At 41.9% G+C, this 19,574-nt stretch overlaps 1 protein-coding gene across 1 annotated transcript; it reads left to right on the top strand.

Annotated features, from left to right (window-relative positions):
• The first annotated feature begins 307 nt into the window (after window positions 1-307).
• Window positions 308-2,040, top strand: LOC105379473 (uncharacterized). Its single transcript, XM_011546043.2, has 3 exons — window positions 308-324; window positions 1,143-1,219; window positions 1,316-2,040. The coding sequence occupies exon 3, from the start codon at window positions 1,369-1,371 to the stop codon at window positions 2,038-2,040; it is 672 nt and encodes a 223-aa protein (XP_011544345.1). The 5' UTR covers window positions 308-324; window positions 1,143-1,219; window positions 1,316-1,368.
• The last annotated feature ends 17,534 nt before the right edge of the window (window positions 2,041-19,574 follow it).

Below are 19,574 nucleotides of genomic sequence, written 5' to 3'. Positions count from 1 at the left end.
ACTTCATTATTTGGAAGGACAGTTTGCTCGGTTAAAACACTCTACTGCCCAAAAGGCCAAGACAACAGAAAAATACAGACTTACATAAATAGATTTTATATGTGACAGCAGTTTGAATGGAGACTTTTTCAATGCAAATGACAAACAGCTGTGCTTGGGAATAAATGACAAAGAATTTTTTATCTCAACAGCTGTCCTGAGAGCACGTCTCTACATCTATACCTGCATTCTGGAATCAGGGAGAAAGCCAAAACGGATGACAAGACACTAGGTCAGCCGCGTCCAACCCTTTGACTACAAGGACTTTTCCACCTATCTGTGGTGGTGGGTATCATGAAAATTATGCACAAACCTTTTTTTTTTTTAAGCTCATCAGCTATCGTTAGCATTAGTGTATTTTATATGTGGCCCAGGAGCATTCTTCTTCCAATGTGACCCTGAGAAGCCAAAAGACACCTGTGCACTAGATCAAAAGGCTACTCCTTCTGGAAGCAATTGTAAAGAATTTCTGACATTATCTTCACATGACAACCAATGGGTAGTGGGACAGAATGCAAAAATCTTCAAGTATTTTTCTTGTTGGTTTTTTTTTTTTTTTTTTTGAGTCAGGGTCTTGCTCTGTGGCCCAGGCTGGAGTACACTGCTGAGATCACAGCTCAGTGCAGGCTCAAGTGCTCCTCCCACCTCAGCCACAGTAGTAGCTGGGACTACAGATGTGCACAACCACCACTGGCTAATATTTTATTTTTTGTAGAGACAGGGTCTCACTATATTGTCCAGGTTAGTCTCAAACTCCTTGACTCAAGGGATCCAGGACAGGATAACAGGTGTGAGCCACCACATCTGGCCATGTGCATGAACTTTTAAGACAAACACAAGGCCCCACAAAAGTTAAAGTTTTCCCACCTAATTTCCAGGGGATCTTTTGGTGCAAGGATGAGAAGCCCTTAAAAGTACCCAGACAACTCCAAAGATTCAAGACAGTTCATTGGGGCTGAGCCAGCCCACTGGGCAGACTGACCTTCAAAAAAGGCCCACCCATGATATACACCAGATGGCTCTCCAAGAATCTCTCCAGTCCTCAGGGTCCCTAAGGTACTGGACAGAGCTAGGAAAGCAAACCCATGTGCTTCTTCCTTCAGGCAACCCCTTGAGGTCAAGACCCCACAATCAGATGAGGATGGAGTGGCTCACCCTCAGTCAACAGGCCAGACTCAAGGTGGTATTATGTCTTAACCAAGGGTGTGGGCCTCCAGGTCTCACTCCCAACTCAGTGCTCCTTTAATAACCACACTTTGTTAATTCTCCTTAACAGGGGTTCCAGGCAAGTCAGTTCTCCCTCAGGCCTTCGGTTTCCTCACCCACAAGATGAGAGGGCTGGACCAGATGGAAATTCAGGGGGTAAGGGGATGTCCGCTCGCAGCCCACCTCGCCCATGGGCCCCTCAAGCCTCCCTGCCAGTTCCCACGACGCACCCGCCCCACAGATCCTGCCCAAGGTGAGGGCTGGTCCCGGGTCCTCCGGCTGCCGCATCAGCGAGTGCAGGAGGGAGGGGAAGCCTCCAACGGGGCGACTCGGGCTCAAGGATGCAACTCGGCCAGGAGTGAACTCGGGCACGGAGGGAGGTGTCTGGGCCGCTCCTCGAGCCCAGCCTGGGTCCACGACCCCCTTACCTCCAGGGTCCGTATCTCCTGCTGGGTGAGGTCCTTGGACACAGCGCACTTGTTGCGCAACCGGCTCAGGCTGCCAATGGAGATGCGGATAAGCTTCTGGAGCTGCCCACAAGCTTCTGGAGCTGCCCACACTGCTGCAGCGTCTGGCTGGCTGCGGCCCCTGCGCCTCCCAAAGAGGCCGCCGCATCACCCCCGCCACCGCCCTCCTTCTTCTCTCCCCTGGCCGCTACGCGCAGCGCCGCTCTATGCAGGCCGCAGCGGCCAAGGCGGGGAGCTCGGGGCGCGGGCGCCTAGGCAAGGAACCCCCGAGCCGGGAGAGCTGGACCAGGAGCGCCCCTCGGCTCCGCCCGAACAAGGACGCCGGTAGAGCCGGCAGCCGAGTGTGCCGCTCCCGCCCTCAGAGCCGCGTCGGTGGTGGCAAAAAGCGGCGGCGGTGGGGGCAAAAAGCTGGGGCGGCGGGGACAAAAAGCCTCGGTGGCGGGGGTAAAAAGCCACGGCGGCAAAAACCGGCGGCGGCGGGGGCAAAATGCCGCAGGGGCAAAAAGCCGCAAAAAGCCGCGGCGGCGGGGGCAAGAAGCCGCGGTGGCGGGAGCAAAAAACTGCGGCGGCAAAAAGGGGCGGCGGCGGGGGCAAAAAGCCGCAAAAAGCCTCGGCGTAGGGGGCAAAAAGCCGTGGCGTCGGGGGCAAGAATCCGCGGCGGCGGGGGCAAAAAAAATATATATATAATTATATTATAAATATATATATTTCTATATAAAATATTATAAATATATATTATATTTATATATAATTATATATATTTATAATATAAAATATATTTATATATTATATATATTAATTATATATATATTATAAATATATGTAATAAATCTTGATTCTAAGAATGTTTTCATTATTATCACTAAAACTTATGATAAATGTTTTATTCATTCGTTTGTGACTATATTGCATGATAAAAATTTAAAGATTTATTATGTTTGAATCAAACCCCACGATTTGTGTCATTTCCCCCTGTAATGTGGAAGTCTGAGTTTTTAGTTCACAAATTTGGCAGAACAATAAACAGAGCGGCACAGCTCAAAGCACTAACTCCTCCGGAAGCAGCAGGTCAAAGTACATGCCAGACATTAAGCAGCAGAGCAACTTAGCAAGAGAAGACAGATCCTCAGGTTGGTGGGCAATGTCTGAACAGTCTGCTCATGGCACCAATTGTTAGTCACTTGCAAAGATGTGGCTTTAAGAGGGTAAGAAATTACTACTCACATAAATTACATTTGTGAGGTAAGTAGGAAGGCCTTTCAAGGTGATCTGACATGGCTTGAATGTGCAAGAAAAGGAGCCAGGCCTGGATTTTTATTGAGGGTAGGTGGCATGCTAGGGTGAGAATTTATTCCCATGGACAGGGGTTTGAATGGTTTCAATCTGCTGCTGGTACCAGAAAAGGGACCACCCAGGTTTCCTCTTACTGTATTATTTTATACACACACACACACACACACACACACACACACACACACACACGGTTTAGGATTAAAAATAGAGACAACCATCAAAAAATGAAGATAGTTCCTTTTGGTCAGCCTGGCAAGTAAGGACGTAGAAGGTGACATTCGCATCAGCGAAAGTAAAAAGGGAAACATAGGCCAGCAATTCTCCTAACATCTATCAGAAAAATAAGTTCACAGGGCAAATCACCATCCCAAATTGGACAGAAGGACACACACATCCAGAGAATTATAACTTACTTGGTTAGTAAACCACAAGAAACCCCTATGGGAACAAATACAGTTGTAAGAAAACAAACCATTATTGATGAATGGCTAAAAGTTTGAGAATTAACATTTTCAGGGTATACAAATTTATGAACTTTACTTTCAGAAACATGACATGGCTTTTACAGGGAAGATGATAGAAAAAATGCTTCTTGATTCCAGTAGGAGGAAGGGAAATGTAGCCATTTTTAACTATTCCCAGAAAATTTTCTTTTTAACATTCCTATCTTCAATATAAACTATGTATCAAAAGCCTAACCAACTGAGATTTTACCAGAGCCAGACTTCCTGGAGTAAGAGAAATGCCCAATTCCATCCCCCTCTAACCTTCTTGATCCAGTTAAGAGAGGTAAAGAGTGAGAAGTCCTCATGAAATTCACAGCCTAGGGATACACTGTTTTGTTTTGATTTGTTTTAATGAGGCTAATGCATAAGTCAATAGAGTGCTTTGCCTAAGCTCTCACATAACCACTACATCAACAGCAGAATAAATACATGGTAGCAGAATACAACTGAAAGAACTGTATGCCTCAGATCTTGTTAAATAAGTCTCTAAGAGACCACAAGGAAATTGAATAATGTTGATAAAGTCGACACATGTATATGTAGAAATACACAATGTACTGACACTGAGTCATGAACAAATAGAAAATCTGAACAGACCTATAGTTGCAGATTGATGCAAAAATCACCCCTCCAGAAAAAAAAGTACAAAACTGTTATGCTGCTGAATCTATCAAACATTTTAAGAATTAATTACCAATTATCCTCAAACTCTTGCAAAAACCTGAAGATGCAGAAACACTTCCAAATTTATTCTATGAGGTAGGCCAAAATTACAGTGACATAAAAAATGAACAAAAGCACTACAAGAAAGAAAGTTGAAGAAAAATGTTCTTTATAAATAATATAAAATCTATAAAATAAATATTAGCAAAATATATTTAGCAGAATAATAAGAGGGTTATCTACCAAGACTAATTGAGAGTTATTACTGAAGTGCAAAGATGCTTTAACATATAAATATCAATAAATGTAGCCAGGCACAGTGGCTTGTGCCTGTAATCCCAGTTACCCAGGATGCTAAGGTGATAGGTTCACTTCAGTCCAGGAGTTCAAGAGCAGTCTAAACAACATCATAATATCCTGTCTCTAAAAATAAATAAATAATAAATAAATAAACAAATAATCATAATATACCGCATTAGTACTGTTAAACACCACAATATCTCAATTTACACAGAAAAAGCATTCTACAAGATATTACTCATTCATGGTACAAACACACAACATAATCAACAGTGAAATACAAAAAATGTTTTCCCTTAATATCAGGAACTAAAAATAGTTCCTCTTTTTTACCACTTCCACTCAACAGAGTATATAAAACTTTAGCTTAAGCAATAACAAAAATAAAATAAAGACAAAAATGCATATGTTAAAAAGAATAAAATAGAAATATCTCTGTTCACAGTAATCATGTATGCACACAATTCTGAAGATTGTACAAACAGAAAAACACCTCAAAACAGTTTAAACAAATTAAGTAATGTTGCAGGATACAAAATTAACTTACAAAACTCAGTTGCATTGATGCACACCAATAATGATTAATCTGAAAAGGAAATTAAGAAAACAATACCATGAACAACAGTATTAAAAAGAATAAAATGCTCTGGAATCAATTTAACCAGGATGACAAACTATTTGTACAATAAAAACTTTCAAAATGCTGCTGTAAGAAATCAAAGGTACAAATAAATGGAACAGTATCTTCTGTTCATAGGTGAAAAGACTTTTTAAAAAATTTCAACTTTTATTTTAGATTCAGGGGTTACAGGCACAGATTTGTTATGTAGGAATATTGTATAATGCTCAGGTTTGGAGCACATAGGTAGTGAGCACAGCAACCAATATGTAGTATATTAACTTGCCCTCCCCTCTGCACACTTTAGTAGTCCACCGTGTTTACTGTTCCCATATTTATGTCCATATATGCTCAATGTTTAGCTCTTATAAGTAAGAACATGCAGTATTTGGCTTTCTGTTTCTGCATTAATTTGCTTGAAATTATGGCCTCTGGTTCCACCTATGTTCATACCAAGGACATGATTTCATTATATTTCACAGCTGTGTAGTATTCCATGGTGTATACATACCAGGTTTTCTTTATCCAATATACCATTGATGGGCATCTGGATTGATCCCACATCTTTGCTATTGTGAATAGCACAGTGATGCATTCAAGTGCATATGTCTTTTTGGTAGAATGATTTATTTTCTTTTGGGTATATACCCAGTTGTAGGATTGCTGGGTAAATTGGTAGTTCTGTTTTAAGTTCTTTCAGAAATCTCGAGACTGCTCTCCACGATTGCTGAACTAATTTACAATCCTGCCAGTGACGTAAAGTGTTTCCTTTTCTGCACAGCCTTGCCAACATGTTATTTATTGACTTTTTAGTAATAGCCATTCTGACTAACATGAGATGGTACCTCATTGTGGTTCTGATTTGCATTTATCTGATAATTACTGATGCTGAGCAATTTTTCATGTTTGTTGGCCACTTGTATATCTTCTGTTCAGGCATATCTGTTCATCTCATTTGCCCATTTTTTATTTTTTAATGGTTTTTTTTTTTTGGCTTGTTGATTTGAGTTCCCTATGGAGTCTGGATATTAGGCTTTTGTTAGACTCATAGTTTGTGAATATCTCCTCCCATTCTGGAGGATGCCTCTTTCCCCTGTTGATAGTTTATTTTGCTGTGCAGAAGCTATTTAGTCAAATTAAGTCCTACTTGTCTATTTTTGTTTTGGTTGCAATTGCTTTTGGGGACTTAGCCAAAAACGACTTGCCAAGGCTGATGTCAAAAAAATATTTCCTAGGTTATCTTCCAGAATTTTTATAGTTTGAGGTCTTACACTTAAATTTTTAATCCATTTAAATTTAATTTTGGGGCATGTTGCAAGGTAAAGGTCTAGGTTCAATCTTCTGCCTATGGCAAGCCAGTTATCCCAGAATGTATTGACTAGGGAGTCCTTTCCCCATTGCTTGTTCTTGCCAGCCTTGTCAAATATCATATGGTTGTAGGTGTGTGACTTTCAGCAGTGTTTTGTAGTTCTCCTTGAAGAGATCTTTCATTTCCTTGGTTATCTGTATTCCTAGGTATTTCTCTTTTTTGTGGCTATTTTAAGTGGAATTGTGTTCTTGATTTCACTCTTGGCCTGGACATTGTTGGTGTATGGAAATGCTACTTATTTCACCATAATCAGTACTGTTTACACTGATTTTGTATCCTGAGACTATACTAAAGTTATTAATTCTAGGAGCCTTCTGGCAGAATCTCTAGGATTTTCTAGGCATAGGATCATATTTTCAGCGAAGAGAGATAGTTTGACTTCTTTTCCTGTTTCGTTACTTTTTCTTTCTCTTGCCTGATTGCTCTGCATAGGACTTCCAGTACTAAGCTGAATAGGAGTGCTGTGAGTGAGCATCCTTGTCTTGTTTCAGTTCTCATAGAAATAGTTTTAAGTTTTTAACCTATTGAGTATGATGTTGACTGTGGGTTTCCCATAGATGACTCTTATTATTTTAAGGTATGTTCCTTGGATGCCTAGTCTATTGAGGATTTTTACCATGAAGTAGTGTTGGATTTTATTAAGAAGACCTTTGTGTATCTGTTTAGAAAATCATATGGTTTTTACTTTTGATTCTATTTAGCTGGTGAATCACATTTATTGGTTTGCATATGTTGAACCAGCTTGCATCCCAGGAATAAAGCCTACTTGACCATGGTGTATTACCTTTCTGATGTGGTGCTGAATTTGGTTTGCTAGTATTTTGTTGAGGATTTTTACATTTTCTGTTCATGAGGGATCTTGGTCTGAAGTTTTGTTTTTTCACAGTGTCTCTGCCAGATTTTCATATCATGCTACTGCTGGTTTCAAAGAATGAGTTAGGAAGGAGCCCCACCGCCTCGATATTTTGAAATAATTTTAGTAGGATTGATATCATTTCTTCTTAGTATGTCTGGTAAAACTCAGCAGCCAATCTACCTGTTTCAGGCCTTTTTGTTGTTGTTGTTGTTGTTGGTAGGTTCTTTAGTACTGACTCAATGTCAGAAGTTGATATTAGTCTACTTAGAGTTTTGATCTCTTTCTGATTCCATCTTGGGAGACTGTGTGCTTCCTGGAATTTATTCATTTTCTCCAGATTTTCTAATTTGCGTGCAGAGCTGTTCATAGTACTCGCTGAGGATCTTTTGTATCTCTATCTGATCCATTTTAATATAACCTGTCATTTTTATTGCGCTTATTTGGATCTTCTCTTTCTTTTTTATATTTGTTAATTTGGCTAGGAGCTTATCAATTTTTTTTGAAGAACCAATTTTTTGTTTTCTTGGACTGTTGTATACATTTTTGCATCTCAACTTCATTAAATTCTTCTCTAATTGCTGTTATGTCTTCTCTCATGCTAGCTTTGGGGTTGGTTGGTTCTTTTTTTCAAGTTCCTTTAGGTGCAAAGTTACATCGTTAATTTGAGACATTTCTAACTTCTTGATAAAGGCATTTAGGGCTATAAAGTTTCCTCTTAACACTGCTTTGGCTGCATCTTAGAAATTTTGGTAAGTTGTGTTCCTATTTCTATCAATTTCAAGTAATTTTTATATTTCTGCCTTACTTTGATGTTTACAAAGGATTTATTCAGGAGTAAGTTGTTTAATTTTCATGTATTTCTGTAGTTTTGAGAGATCTTGGTATGCATTTGTATTTTTTATTGTACTGTGCTCCAACAGTGTGCTTGGTGAGATTTCATTTTTCCTTAATCTATTCAGGCTTTATTTATCACTGAGCACGTGGTTGAACTTAGAATTTTTTTTTGTGCAGATGAGAAAAATGTACATTCTGTGGTTGTTCGATGGAGTTTTCAATAGATGTCTATTAGGTCCAATTGGTCAAGTGTGGAGTTTAACTCCAGAGTTTTCCTGTTAGTTTTTTTTTTTTTTGGCCTCAGTGATATGTCTAATGCTGTAAGTAGGGTGTTGAAGTCTCTTACTACTATTGTGATGTTGTCTAAGCCTTTTTGTGGGGAAAGAAAAAGTCATTTTGTAAATCTGGGTGCTCCAATATTAAGTGTATATATATTTAAGATATTTAAGGCTTCTCACAGGATTTTATCCTTTATCAATATGCCCTTGTTATTCTTCTTTTCATTGGTAGGCAAAGAAGAAGTCATTTTATGAATTTGGATGCTCCAGTGGTAATCACATATATATTTAAGATAGTTAAGGCTTCTTGTTAGATTGCACCCTTTATCAAAATGCTCTTCTTGTCCCTCTTAGTGTTTTTTTTTTTTTTTTTGGTTTAAATTTGTTTTATCTAATATAAGAATAGTGACTGCTGCTTGTTTTTGTTTCGTTTGCATGGTAGAATACACTCCACCCTTTTACTCTGAGGCAAAGGGTGTGTCTTGAAAGCAACAGATGGATGGGTACTGTCTTTTTATCCAGGATGCCACTTTGTGTCTTTTAACTGTGGTGTTTAGCTTACTTACATGTTAGGTGAGTATTGATATGTGTGATTTTGAATTCACCATCATGTTGTTAGCTGGTTGTTATGTAGAGTTGATTGCATTATTGCTTTATAGTGCCTGTGGGCTATGTGCTTAAGTGAGCTTTTTTGGTAGCAGATATCATTCACTTGAATCCATGTTTAGCACTACCTTAAAGACCTCTTGTAAGGCTGGTCTAGTTTAAATGTATCACGTCAGCATTTGCTTGTCAAAGGAATTTTTTTTTTCCTCTTTCACCTATGAAGCTTAGTTTAGAGGGATATAAAATTATTGGTTAATTTTTTTTCCTTTAAAAACTCTGCAGATAGGCCCCTAACCTCTTCTGGTTGCAAGGAGTCTGCTGAGAGGTCTGCTGCTAGTCTGATGGAATTCACTCTGTGAGTAACCTGCCCTTTCTCTCTAACTGATCTTAAATTTTTTTTTGCACTGACTTTGGTGAATCTGATGACTATGTGACATGGAAATAGCAATATGGTTTGGATCTGTGATTCTGCCCCAATCACATGTGGAACTGTAATCTTCAATGTTGGAGGTGGGGCCTGCTGAGAGGTGATTGGATAATGGGGATAGATCCTTGTGAATGGTTTAACACCAGCCCCTTGTGCTGTCTTGCGATAACGTTCTCATGAGATCTGGCTGTTTAAGAATGGGTAGCACCTCCCCGCTCTCTGTGTTGCTCCTGTTCTTCCATGTAAGATGCCTTGCTCCCCCTCTTCCTTCTTCCATGGTTGTTAGTTTCCTGAGGGCTCCCCATAAGCCAAGCTGATGCTGCCATGCTTCCGCTGCAGCCTGCAGAATTGTGAGCCAACCAAACTTCTTTTCATTATAAATTACCCAGTATCAAGTATTTCTTTATAGCAATGTGAGAACTGACTAATACAGACTGTCATATATTATTGTATCTGACTAGGGGCTGACTGGGGTTCTCTTGGATTTGAATGGCAACCTCGCTAGTGAGATTAGAGGTACTTTCATGAACTATATCTTCATACATATTTTCCAACTTGCCTATTCTCTTTCCTTCTCTCTCAGAAATGTTGATAAATTGTAGATTTGTTCTCTAAGTAATCTCATATTTCTCAATGGGGATGTTGATTTTTCTTAATTCTTTTATCTTTATTTTTGTCTGACTATGTTGATTCAATAAAACAGTGTTTGAGCTCTGAGATTCTTTTCTCAGTTTAGTCTATTCTGCTGGAAATACTTCTGATTTTATTATAAAATCCTCACAGTAAATCTTTCAGCTCAAGAATTTTTTTAGTTTAGATATTTCTTAAGATTGCTATTTTATCTTTCAGGTTTTGAATCATTTAACCGGATTGCTTGGCTTCCTTGGGTTAAGTTTCAACTTTCTTCTCAATCTAAATGAGTTTCCCTGCTCTTTTTTCCATGTCTGTCATTTTAGACAATTCAGACTGTTAAAAACCATCACTGGGGCACTAGTGGGCTCTCTTGAAGGAGACACTCTGGCTTTTTGCATTGCCAGAGATTTTGAGCCAATTCTTTCTCATCTGAGAGAACTGGTATACCTCTAATTGGGGTATAAATTGAGTATAGTCTATTGGCTTTCTTTTTTTGAAGGTTTTCAGAGGACTAGGACTCTGTACAGTGTCTTTGTTGTTGAATTCTTGCTCTTGGTTTCACAGGGGAAGAATTAGTAAAGTGATTTTTGGTGGTGTAATCTCTACTGCGATCCAGTAGATAGCACTTGAGAGCAGTGGGATGTAGATAGGTTCTTTACCATGCAGTTCCTTTGTGTATCTTCTTTATTTGCAACTATGTTCTGTGGTACAGGTCTGTTCATGAGTCTTGAGAGACTCACTTCCAATCACTGGCACTATGCCCATTATTATTACTATCATTATCTCCTTTTTTTTTTTTTTTTTTTTTTTTTTTTTTGAGACAGAGTCTTGCTCTGTCGCCCAGAGACTGGAGTGCAGTGGCAGGATCTCAGCTCACTGCAAGCTCTGCCTCCTGGGTTCATGCCATTCTCCTGTCTCAGCCTCCCGGCTAGCTGGGACTACAGGCGCCCGCCACCACGCCTGACTATTTTTTTGTATTTTTAGTAGAGACAGGGTTTCACCGTGTTATCCAGGATGGTCTCGATCTCCTGACCTCGTGATCCACCCGCCTCCGCTTACCAAAGTGCTGGGATTACAGGCGTCAGCCACCGCGCCCGGCCTATTACTATCATTATCATTATTGTCATTGTTGTTAGGTGTTTCAAGCTGTGGGGCTTCCTCAGGGAGATGTCTTCTAGAAAAATACCCTGCATCTTTACCATAACAGCCCTGTGGAAGGAGGTGTGCCTAGGGCCCACGCCAGCCTGTGAACCTGTGTGAATCTGGCCTCTCAGTTTCTGAAGAGTGTGGGTTCCTCCCCCATTCAACTGCCCAGCACAGATCCCAGCTTGACACTCCTGAACCACAGGCCACAGCACTGGAGTGCCACGACTTGCTTATGACTCCCTCTTCCTGATGCTTAGGGCCAGGTTCCAAGTGTGGTGAGGGATCTGAGGGATTTCTGGGCTGCCAGAATGCATTCAGGTGGAGCCAAGCATCCAGGTTGGGTAGCAGAAACTACAATGTATACATGCTTCTCCCAGGAAGCCAGGCAGGGGCCATGTAAGAGGCTGGTGGACAGGCATGCCTACAGGATAGACATGTCCCAGTCCTGCGGGTAAGCAGGCCTTGCTTTCTCCCTGCAGTTTAGCTGGGGCCAAAGCCTCTGAGAGAGATAGGCAGCTGCAGAGGTGGGACTTTATGGTTGAGCTCCACCAGATCCGACCCATGCTAAAAAGTCCTGGCTCTGTGCCTGCTACAGCTCCATCTCCATCTACTCTCCAGGGAGATCTCCTTGCCAACTCACATGTCCATGGGGGTGTGGAGTTTCCTGCAGCCAGGATCCCAGTGGTCTGCAGCGAGAGTGAGCAGCCTCCCAGTCCCTTTACTCACTTCTTCCCCAGATGCCACTCAGGGCCAAAAAGCAGTCATAGCGTTCAGGCACCCCATAAGGGCACCCCAGCTTCCTTGCTCTTCAGTCTTAGAAAACGCACCTTTTCTCCATCCACACTATCCATTTTCTCTCCAAATATCTATTCAAACTATGTTGATGTAGTCAAAATTGTGGTCTTTCTCTTTGGGAGCAACACTTGCTGGCTGCATCCAGTAAGCCATCTTGGAAACTCTCTTAAAAGTACTAATGTGGCAATTTCTCCTAAAATTATCTATAAATGCAGTGCAATCCCAATCAAAAGCCCAATAACTTTTTTTAAATGGAAACAGAAACTAACATTCTAAAATTCAAGTGAAATCTCAAGGAACCAAGAATAGTCAAAACGATCGCAAAAAAAAGAGATAAAAATGTTCAGAGCTCTAATTTCATAATGAGAAATTTCCTAACGTCAAAAGTTACTCACAGTCATGTTACTCAAAACAGTGTGGTACTGGGATAGAGACTACAAACAAATGAAATAAAATAGTGTCTCTCAGAGGACACTATCAATAGAGTAACAGGACAACTCTGAATAATAGAACATACTCCATAACAATACTCTAATAATACATCTGGCAAGGTATTAATATAGGGAAAATACAAAGTAAAAAGGTTTGAAAATCTTCAACACTCCTCATGATAAAAACATTAAATAAACTGGAAATAGAAAAGATATTGTAAGACATCTATAAAAACCCCACAGCTAACATCATACTTGATGTTAAAAGACAAAATGCTTTCTACCTAAGATCAGAAATAAGACAAAGATGTCTGTTCTCACGACATCTATTCAACATGGTAAAAAAAAAGCTGTTAGCTAGGAAATTAGGCAAGAACATAAAAGTATTAGTGATTTTAAAGCAAATACACACATAGCACCCAGGCATAAATACAAAAGCAGACTTTTCACTGCACATAAAGGTGGATACACGCAGACAAAGACACGCAAGCTTGTTAACTGTCAGAGTTAGCAGCTGAAACACATAAATAAATGCTCAGAGAGACACCCAGTTTAGACCTCTGCTCTCTTTACCACACTCTCCTCCCACATTAGCAGTAACCACTATCTTACACATTGTTTATTTTACTTGTATTATATATTTATTTTTTCCTAGAATATCAGCTTCAAGTGGGCAGAATTATTTGTTTTGTTTTAGTCATTGCAGCACCTCCTAGAACATCTGCTACACAGGGCAAGATTAATACATAATAAATCACTGGGCTCAAATTCACACAACTATACACAGTGCTTTTCCATGAACCTCATCATAGGCCCATATAAACTTGATTTGCACAAAATGAGTTTTTCTTAACTCGATCTTATGTGGCAGGGTGGTGTCTTCTGAACTCCAAACAAATTCCTAAAGGTTAGCTTACTCAAATGAATTGAAAATGTAAGTCCACACAAAAACCTGCACAAAAAAGTTTACAGCAATATTAATTGTAGTTTTCACAAAACTTGGAAGCAACCAAGATCATGTATTCACCAAGGTCAGAGGTACAAAATTATTATACAAAAATCAATTCTACTTCTATACACTTGCAATGAAATATCTAATAATGCAGTTGAGGCAAAAACAAATCCATTTACAATAGCAATTAAATAATAAATCATAGAAATAAATTTTTAAAAATGTGAAAGGAACTTATAATCTGAAAACTACAAACCTTATCGAAAGAGGTTGAAGATCTAAATAAATGAGAAACCATTCCATGTTTATGAATCAGTAGGTTTAATACATTATGATGACAATAACTCCCCAAACAGTCTACATCCAGTACAATTAGATTCAGTACAATTAGAATTCAAGGTGACTACCATGTAAAAACTGAAGCATTGATGCTGAAATTCATATAAAATTAAAAGGGACTAAGAATATCTTTAAAAATCTTTAAAAAGATGCCAAATAAAAGGACTCACAAATTACAACTTCAAAATTTGCCTCAAAGCAACCTTAATCAAGATGGTGTAGTAACGACACAAGGAAAGTCATTTAGATCAATGAAATACAACTGAGAACCCAGAGAGAGTAAAATCAGCAAAATGTCAAGAATGTACAGCTCCAAACACCTGCTCCTCCACAGAAACAGGGAAAACCAAGCAGAACTGTCAGAAACGATGTTGTAAAACCTGTTGAAAACCATCAAGTTGTACAGCAACCATGTAACTACAAAATCAAGAAAAACAATGAAGAACAGGAGAAAAGCCTCGTGGACTTTTTACACGTCCTTGCCCAAATCCTTCCCTTACTTGATGGCAGTCTTAAAAACAACATCCTGAGTTGCCAGTATGGGCCTCTGCTCAGTGGTTCCAGAGGGAAAAGAGGAGGTCTTACTTGCAAAGTATTGTGTTGTTACATTAAAATCTGTATTAGGGCTATCCAGAGGTCTGAAACAAGGCTCTCTTTTTTCTCTAAGTCAGAAAAAAAAATCAGTTTAAAAAATTGGCACGAGTTACTTGGGAGTATTTTAAGGAAACTGAAAGCCAGCAGCCCCCTGGAGAACAGATTACAGACGACACATACAATAGGTCACATAAAGCCAAGAATAAAAAGCTAACGTGAGATTTTGTTTTGTTTTACAAATTAGGCTATTAAAAAGCACCCAGGTATGCTGGCAAATTGACAAAGCACTCTGTGCATAACCACGAAAAACACATTTTCTTAAAGACCCAAGAAGACCCTCATTTTCAGCACTGGCTGACCTTCAGGCTCAGCTCAGCAGAAAGTGAAGACTGAAGCAAAGTTTTCAACAGTCTGCACATGTGTTAAAGGAACGCCCCAGCCCAGAGCCATCCACAAAAACTGGAAGAATCCGTCAGTTTGTCTTTGTCTCAGTTTTGTCATATAGACCTTTGTGACACACAGATCTATATACAATGGAAACTACAAATTTCTAATGAAAGAGCCATGAAAGATCACAAAAGATCTTAATAAATAGAAAGACATTTAATGTGCATGATCATAAAATCTCAATATTGTCAAGATATAATTTCTCCCCAATTTGAGTTATAGGCAAGAGAGTCACATCATCTAGGTGATTGGCCAAACATATGTCACAATCCCTTCCATTGACAGCTCCCAAAAAAGGAGTTACATCACCTAGGTGCTCAGCTCTGAGATGTGTCACAACATTGCCCAATACAGGCAGGCCACAGGCGGGAGAGTCACATTTCCTGGGTGCTTGGCCCAGTGGTATGTCACATTTCCTTATGTAGGAAGGGCACACGTAGCAAGAGAGAGTCACATTACCTAGGTACTGTGCTAGAGCTATCAGTCTCTGTGTCGTTCAATGTGAGAGTTATGATCTCTTTAGACATCCATGTAACAGAGCCTCAACTCCTTCATCCTCAGATGTAAAGGCTAGTGAAGACCAAATAAGCCTTGAAAGGTAATTCCCCTAAAAAGGCAGAATGTCTTAGGCTTTGGCCTCTCCCCTTCAAGCACAATGAGATCATAACCTCTCTTTTGACTTCTCACTATGCCCAGCACTGGAACAAAGCTCCTGACTCCACACCCTCACCTTTCCACCCTTGTGCCTTCACTGGGCAGACAAGAGATGAGAAGACCTGAACTCTGGGACAGTCTGGGGAGAAAAGAATCCAAAAAGGGTTGAGGCGGCAAGGGCTGAGCTCCCACGGGTGCCCCGGCCCAAAGGTGCAGGTCCAGGCTGTTTTCCAGGTGGCATTCAGTGCAGGTTCTTCAATGCCACTGGAAGGCATGAAAAACCCACTGTAGCTGCTGCTGCTTCCTTTTCTTAAGCTGTGAAAATGCAAACACTTTTTCAAGGTTTTCAGATATGCCCAGGTACCCCCAACTGAAAAGGAGGATAATGGCATTGTTCATCATGGCTTATTGTCTTGCCCAGGCAGGAGCCAGCCCCTGACTCGCCAATCCAGCTGCCCCAGGCTGGAGGTGATCCTTTCGAGCCTCCTCCCTGCAACTCCACTCCTCTTTTTTCTCTTCCTCAACCACCGGCATACTTTTGGTCATCCTCCTTGTTGTCACAATGGGGGCGTGATGCCATAAAGACCTGGGAACCCCAATGATCTCAGGTCCCGCAGGGGTCAGGTGAGCATATAGGAAGTCCAGAAGGACAGTCATCTGCCACCTCCAGTTGAAAAAGAACAAAACCCTCGCACTCCAGAAATGAGTCAAGAACCCAGCGAAGGCCACAGGTCTAGCCCACAACCACCTAGGTATGTGGGGTCCTCCAAGGCTCACGCTTGTGTCCTGCAGGCTGGAGCCCATGCGAGGGTCTGCAGTCTTTGTTCCGGATGGGGAACTACTGCTTCAGCTGGTTACCCAGGTGTCCCCGATGGGGAAAGGAAGGAAATGGTGAGAATCTTCAGCACAACGGATCACATCACCCTGGCAGAGACCAGTCCGGCCTGTGCATGGCACCAGCAGCCGCAGGCTAGAGGCAGTCATGTCAGGCCTCCTCCATACAGCATCTCTCCTGCTTTTTTTTCAAACGGCCCTAATCACTTAATTTGGTCATCTTCCCTGTCACAATGGGGCACCTGGCGCTATAGACACTTGGGAAACACACAGATCTGGGGTCCTACAGTGTCCAGGTGAAGACGCCGGGAGTCAGAGAGGAAAGTCTTTTGAAGCCTCCAAAAGGAATGCACAGGACCCCACTTGAAGAGGTGGAGTGCCCAGTGGCGGATACAGGCCCCACACATCGCAGCAGTAAACAGGTAAGGCGCTCCCTGGCCCATGCCTGTTTCCTGGAAACTGAAGCCATGCCCAGGCTGGGAGTCACCATTCCAGAAACAGAATAAGCTGTTGGGCTGGCTACCTCACCCAGCACCCGGCCACGCCAGAGAGAATCTTGGATGCTGCTTTCCCACAGGCTGTAGTGCCTTCCAAGTTAGGCCACCCTAATAACAGTTCTCCCACAGGGACTCCACGGTGTCCAGCTCTCCAGCCTGGGGTTTCTCATCACCCAGTGATTCCAAAAGAAACGATCTACAATGGCATGACTAAGTTCCAGAAACAAATAAACAAAATACTGAGGGAAGCCCGTTGGTCACTTTGATTCTTCAAAGGTGACAATTGTCCCTCCCTGAAATCTTGTGAGTGCATGAACAGGCTATTCTAATGTAAATGAAATTCACACTAAAACTGATTGAAAGATGATTCTGTTTCCAAGGTACTTTGTATTCTCAAATTGCACCTGCTTACCCTGGCCCCCTCAAAATGGAAGAGTGATGACTATTTGTCTTCGTAGCACTGTGGGGACACAGAGCCTTAAATGGAAGAGTGTCAAAAGCAACATTCCATAAAGGGCTGTCACTTCCAATTTTCAAGCAAGGTTGGAAACCAACCATGATGTATGAAACACTGTTGGCCAAAGTGCACAATTAGTAATACAAAATGAATAATATAAACTATTGTAAATATGTGTGGACATCGTGGCAATTTGGACATCAAAAAACACTGCCAAATTCAGAAAGAGGAAGCTGTAAACTCATGGCTGTTAGGAAGCTTAACTTCTGTGTACTAGAACCTATCAAAATTAAATTTCTCCATGTCAATCCGTCCAAACAAACATTGAGATGTTTATTTCTATATAATTCCTATTGAATCCTACTGGGCAGGACCCTTCTGGCCCCATCCTCACAGCACTGGTGCAGTGAAACTGCACTTGCTCCTGCTTCCCCCTATATTGTTAGGAGTGGAAATATTTAGTAACAGGGTGGATTGGGAGGCTACTGAGGCCTCCTGCGTGGGTGGGTCAGGTCTCCTGCAGCCCAAACCTTTTTACAATAAATAAGTTATAGGTAAAATTAGAAAAAAATTAAAAAATGGAACTCATTCTGTTTCTTTGCTCACCACAAAGAGAAACACAGCATCTAGAGATGTCTGTTGGAGCCAGGCTTGTCCTGGGAAAGTAAGAAGTGCTGAGCAGGAGCCCTGGGGATGGAGGGCAGGTGAGATGGGGCTCCCAGGAAGATGCAGCCAAGCCTGGCTCACTCAGGCTGGCAGGGGCCCTCTGAAGTCCAGGAAAGTTGGTCCAGGACACTGAAACTCAAGTGACTCATCTGGGCCAAAGATCTGACCAGGTCGCACTGAATCTCATCAGCCCTGCCAACTGGAGGTCTGATCAGCCTTGAAGATCTTGCTCACTGGAGGCAGACAGCTGGTGGATGGGTCAGGAGAGCTGCCTACTGCCAATGTAGGAGTGCACTCAGTGTAGGCCCGCTGCCCCACTCAGTGGCCTGGATAACCTGCTGAGGCTGCAGCTTCTTCCAGTTTTTGAGCAATAGGGGCATGCACCATTTCCGAAGGTTTTCAGGCAATCCCTGGTGACCTCTGGCAGGGGGTGGTTATCTTGGCAATCTCCAGCAGGGCCTATGGACTTGCTCCCAGGCAAAACCCAGCAATCCCTGTGCCTACCCAGGCACTAAGCATTTGTGGTGGGGCTTTCTGGAAGCTCGCCTTCTCCTGCTGGCTCTTCGTTTTCCCCACCCCGGTACTTCTGGCCATTCTCCCTGTCATCATCACAATGAGACAGCTGGGTGCTGGAGACTCAGAAACTGCCATGCAGACCTTGAGTCCTTCCCAGGCCCAGCCAACAGGGCAGAGAATCCAGGAGAAAAGTCATTTTCACCTCCTGAAGGACCAGAGCTGACCAGGCACCTAGAAGCTGTGCCCCACTGCAGGCTGCCGGTGGAGCTCATGACAAGGCCGGAACAAGGCCGGAACGTGAAGCACTCCCTTGTCTGTCCTTTTTTCCTGAAGGCTGGGGCTTGCCCGGCCAATGTCACCCTTCAGGACAGGGAATCAGAGCTTTGCATGGCTGCCTTACCCCACCAGGGCAACGCCACAGAGAATCATGGCTGAGGCTTTCCTGTGGGCTGCAGTGCCTGACCCTTTAGGGTCCCCACAAAAACACCTTTCCTGCAAATAATCCACCGTGTCCTGCTTGCCAGCCTAGGCTTCCTCATCAGTTGGTGATTTCAATGAAAACAAACTACAGTGGAATGAACAAGTTCTAAATCAGGAACACACAAAGAATCTGTGGAAAGTCCATTTGTCATCTAGATTTTTAAAAGATACACATTTTCCCTTCTTGTTATATTCAGTAGTGCATGAAGCCAATATTATAATAGATGTGCAACTCACACTAAAGCTGACTAAAGGGTGAATTCTTATTCTAAGGTACTTTGTGGTCTCAAATTTATCTGTTCCCACCCCCAGGACCCCATTAAAACTGAATAATTGTCATTGAGAGCAGATGTAGAAAGAAACTAGCTAGGCAGATAGAGCAAAGAGTTCTCAACAGAACGTCCCTTCTAACAGAAAGCAACCCAGGAATTCACTTCTCTTTAACAAAGAGCAGCCTGGAAAATTGGGCTGCAATCATACAAAAGGAAGCTGGAAGCTTGTGTGGGCAGGGATGCCTGCAGCTGCATGGGTAGAAATGACCACCTTGGGCCAGACATATCCAACATGGGGGGCCCCACCCCTCTTTGTAGCATATGCACAGTAGAAAAGAGATAAGCAACTTGGAGTAGCTCAGGCTGAGAATCTGCCTGCATAATAAAAGGTTGGGGTG

Source organism: Homo sapiens, chromosome 16 (genome assembly GCF_000001405.40).
Source record: "Homo sapiens chromosome 16, GRCh38.p14 Primary Assembly".
Classification (NCBI taxonomy): Eukaryota; Metazoa; Chordata; class Mammalia; order Primates; family Hominidae; genus Homo; species Homo sapiens.
The sequence above is the reverse complement of the archived record's forward strand: the minus strand, read 5'-3'. Positions and strand labels throughout refer to the sequence as shown.

Excerpts from the sequence above, each read along its gene's own strand:
- LOC105379473 (XM_011546043.2), top strand. The coding sequence starts at position 1,369 with ATGAGAGGGCTGGACCAGATGGAAATTCAGGGGGTAAGGGGATGTCCG.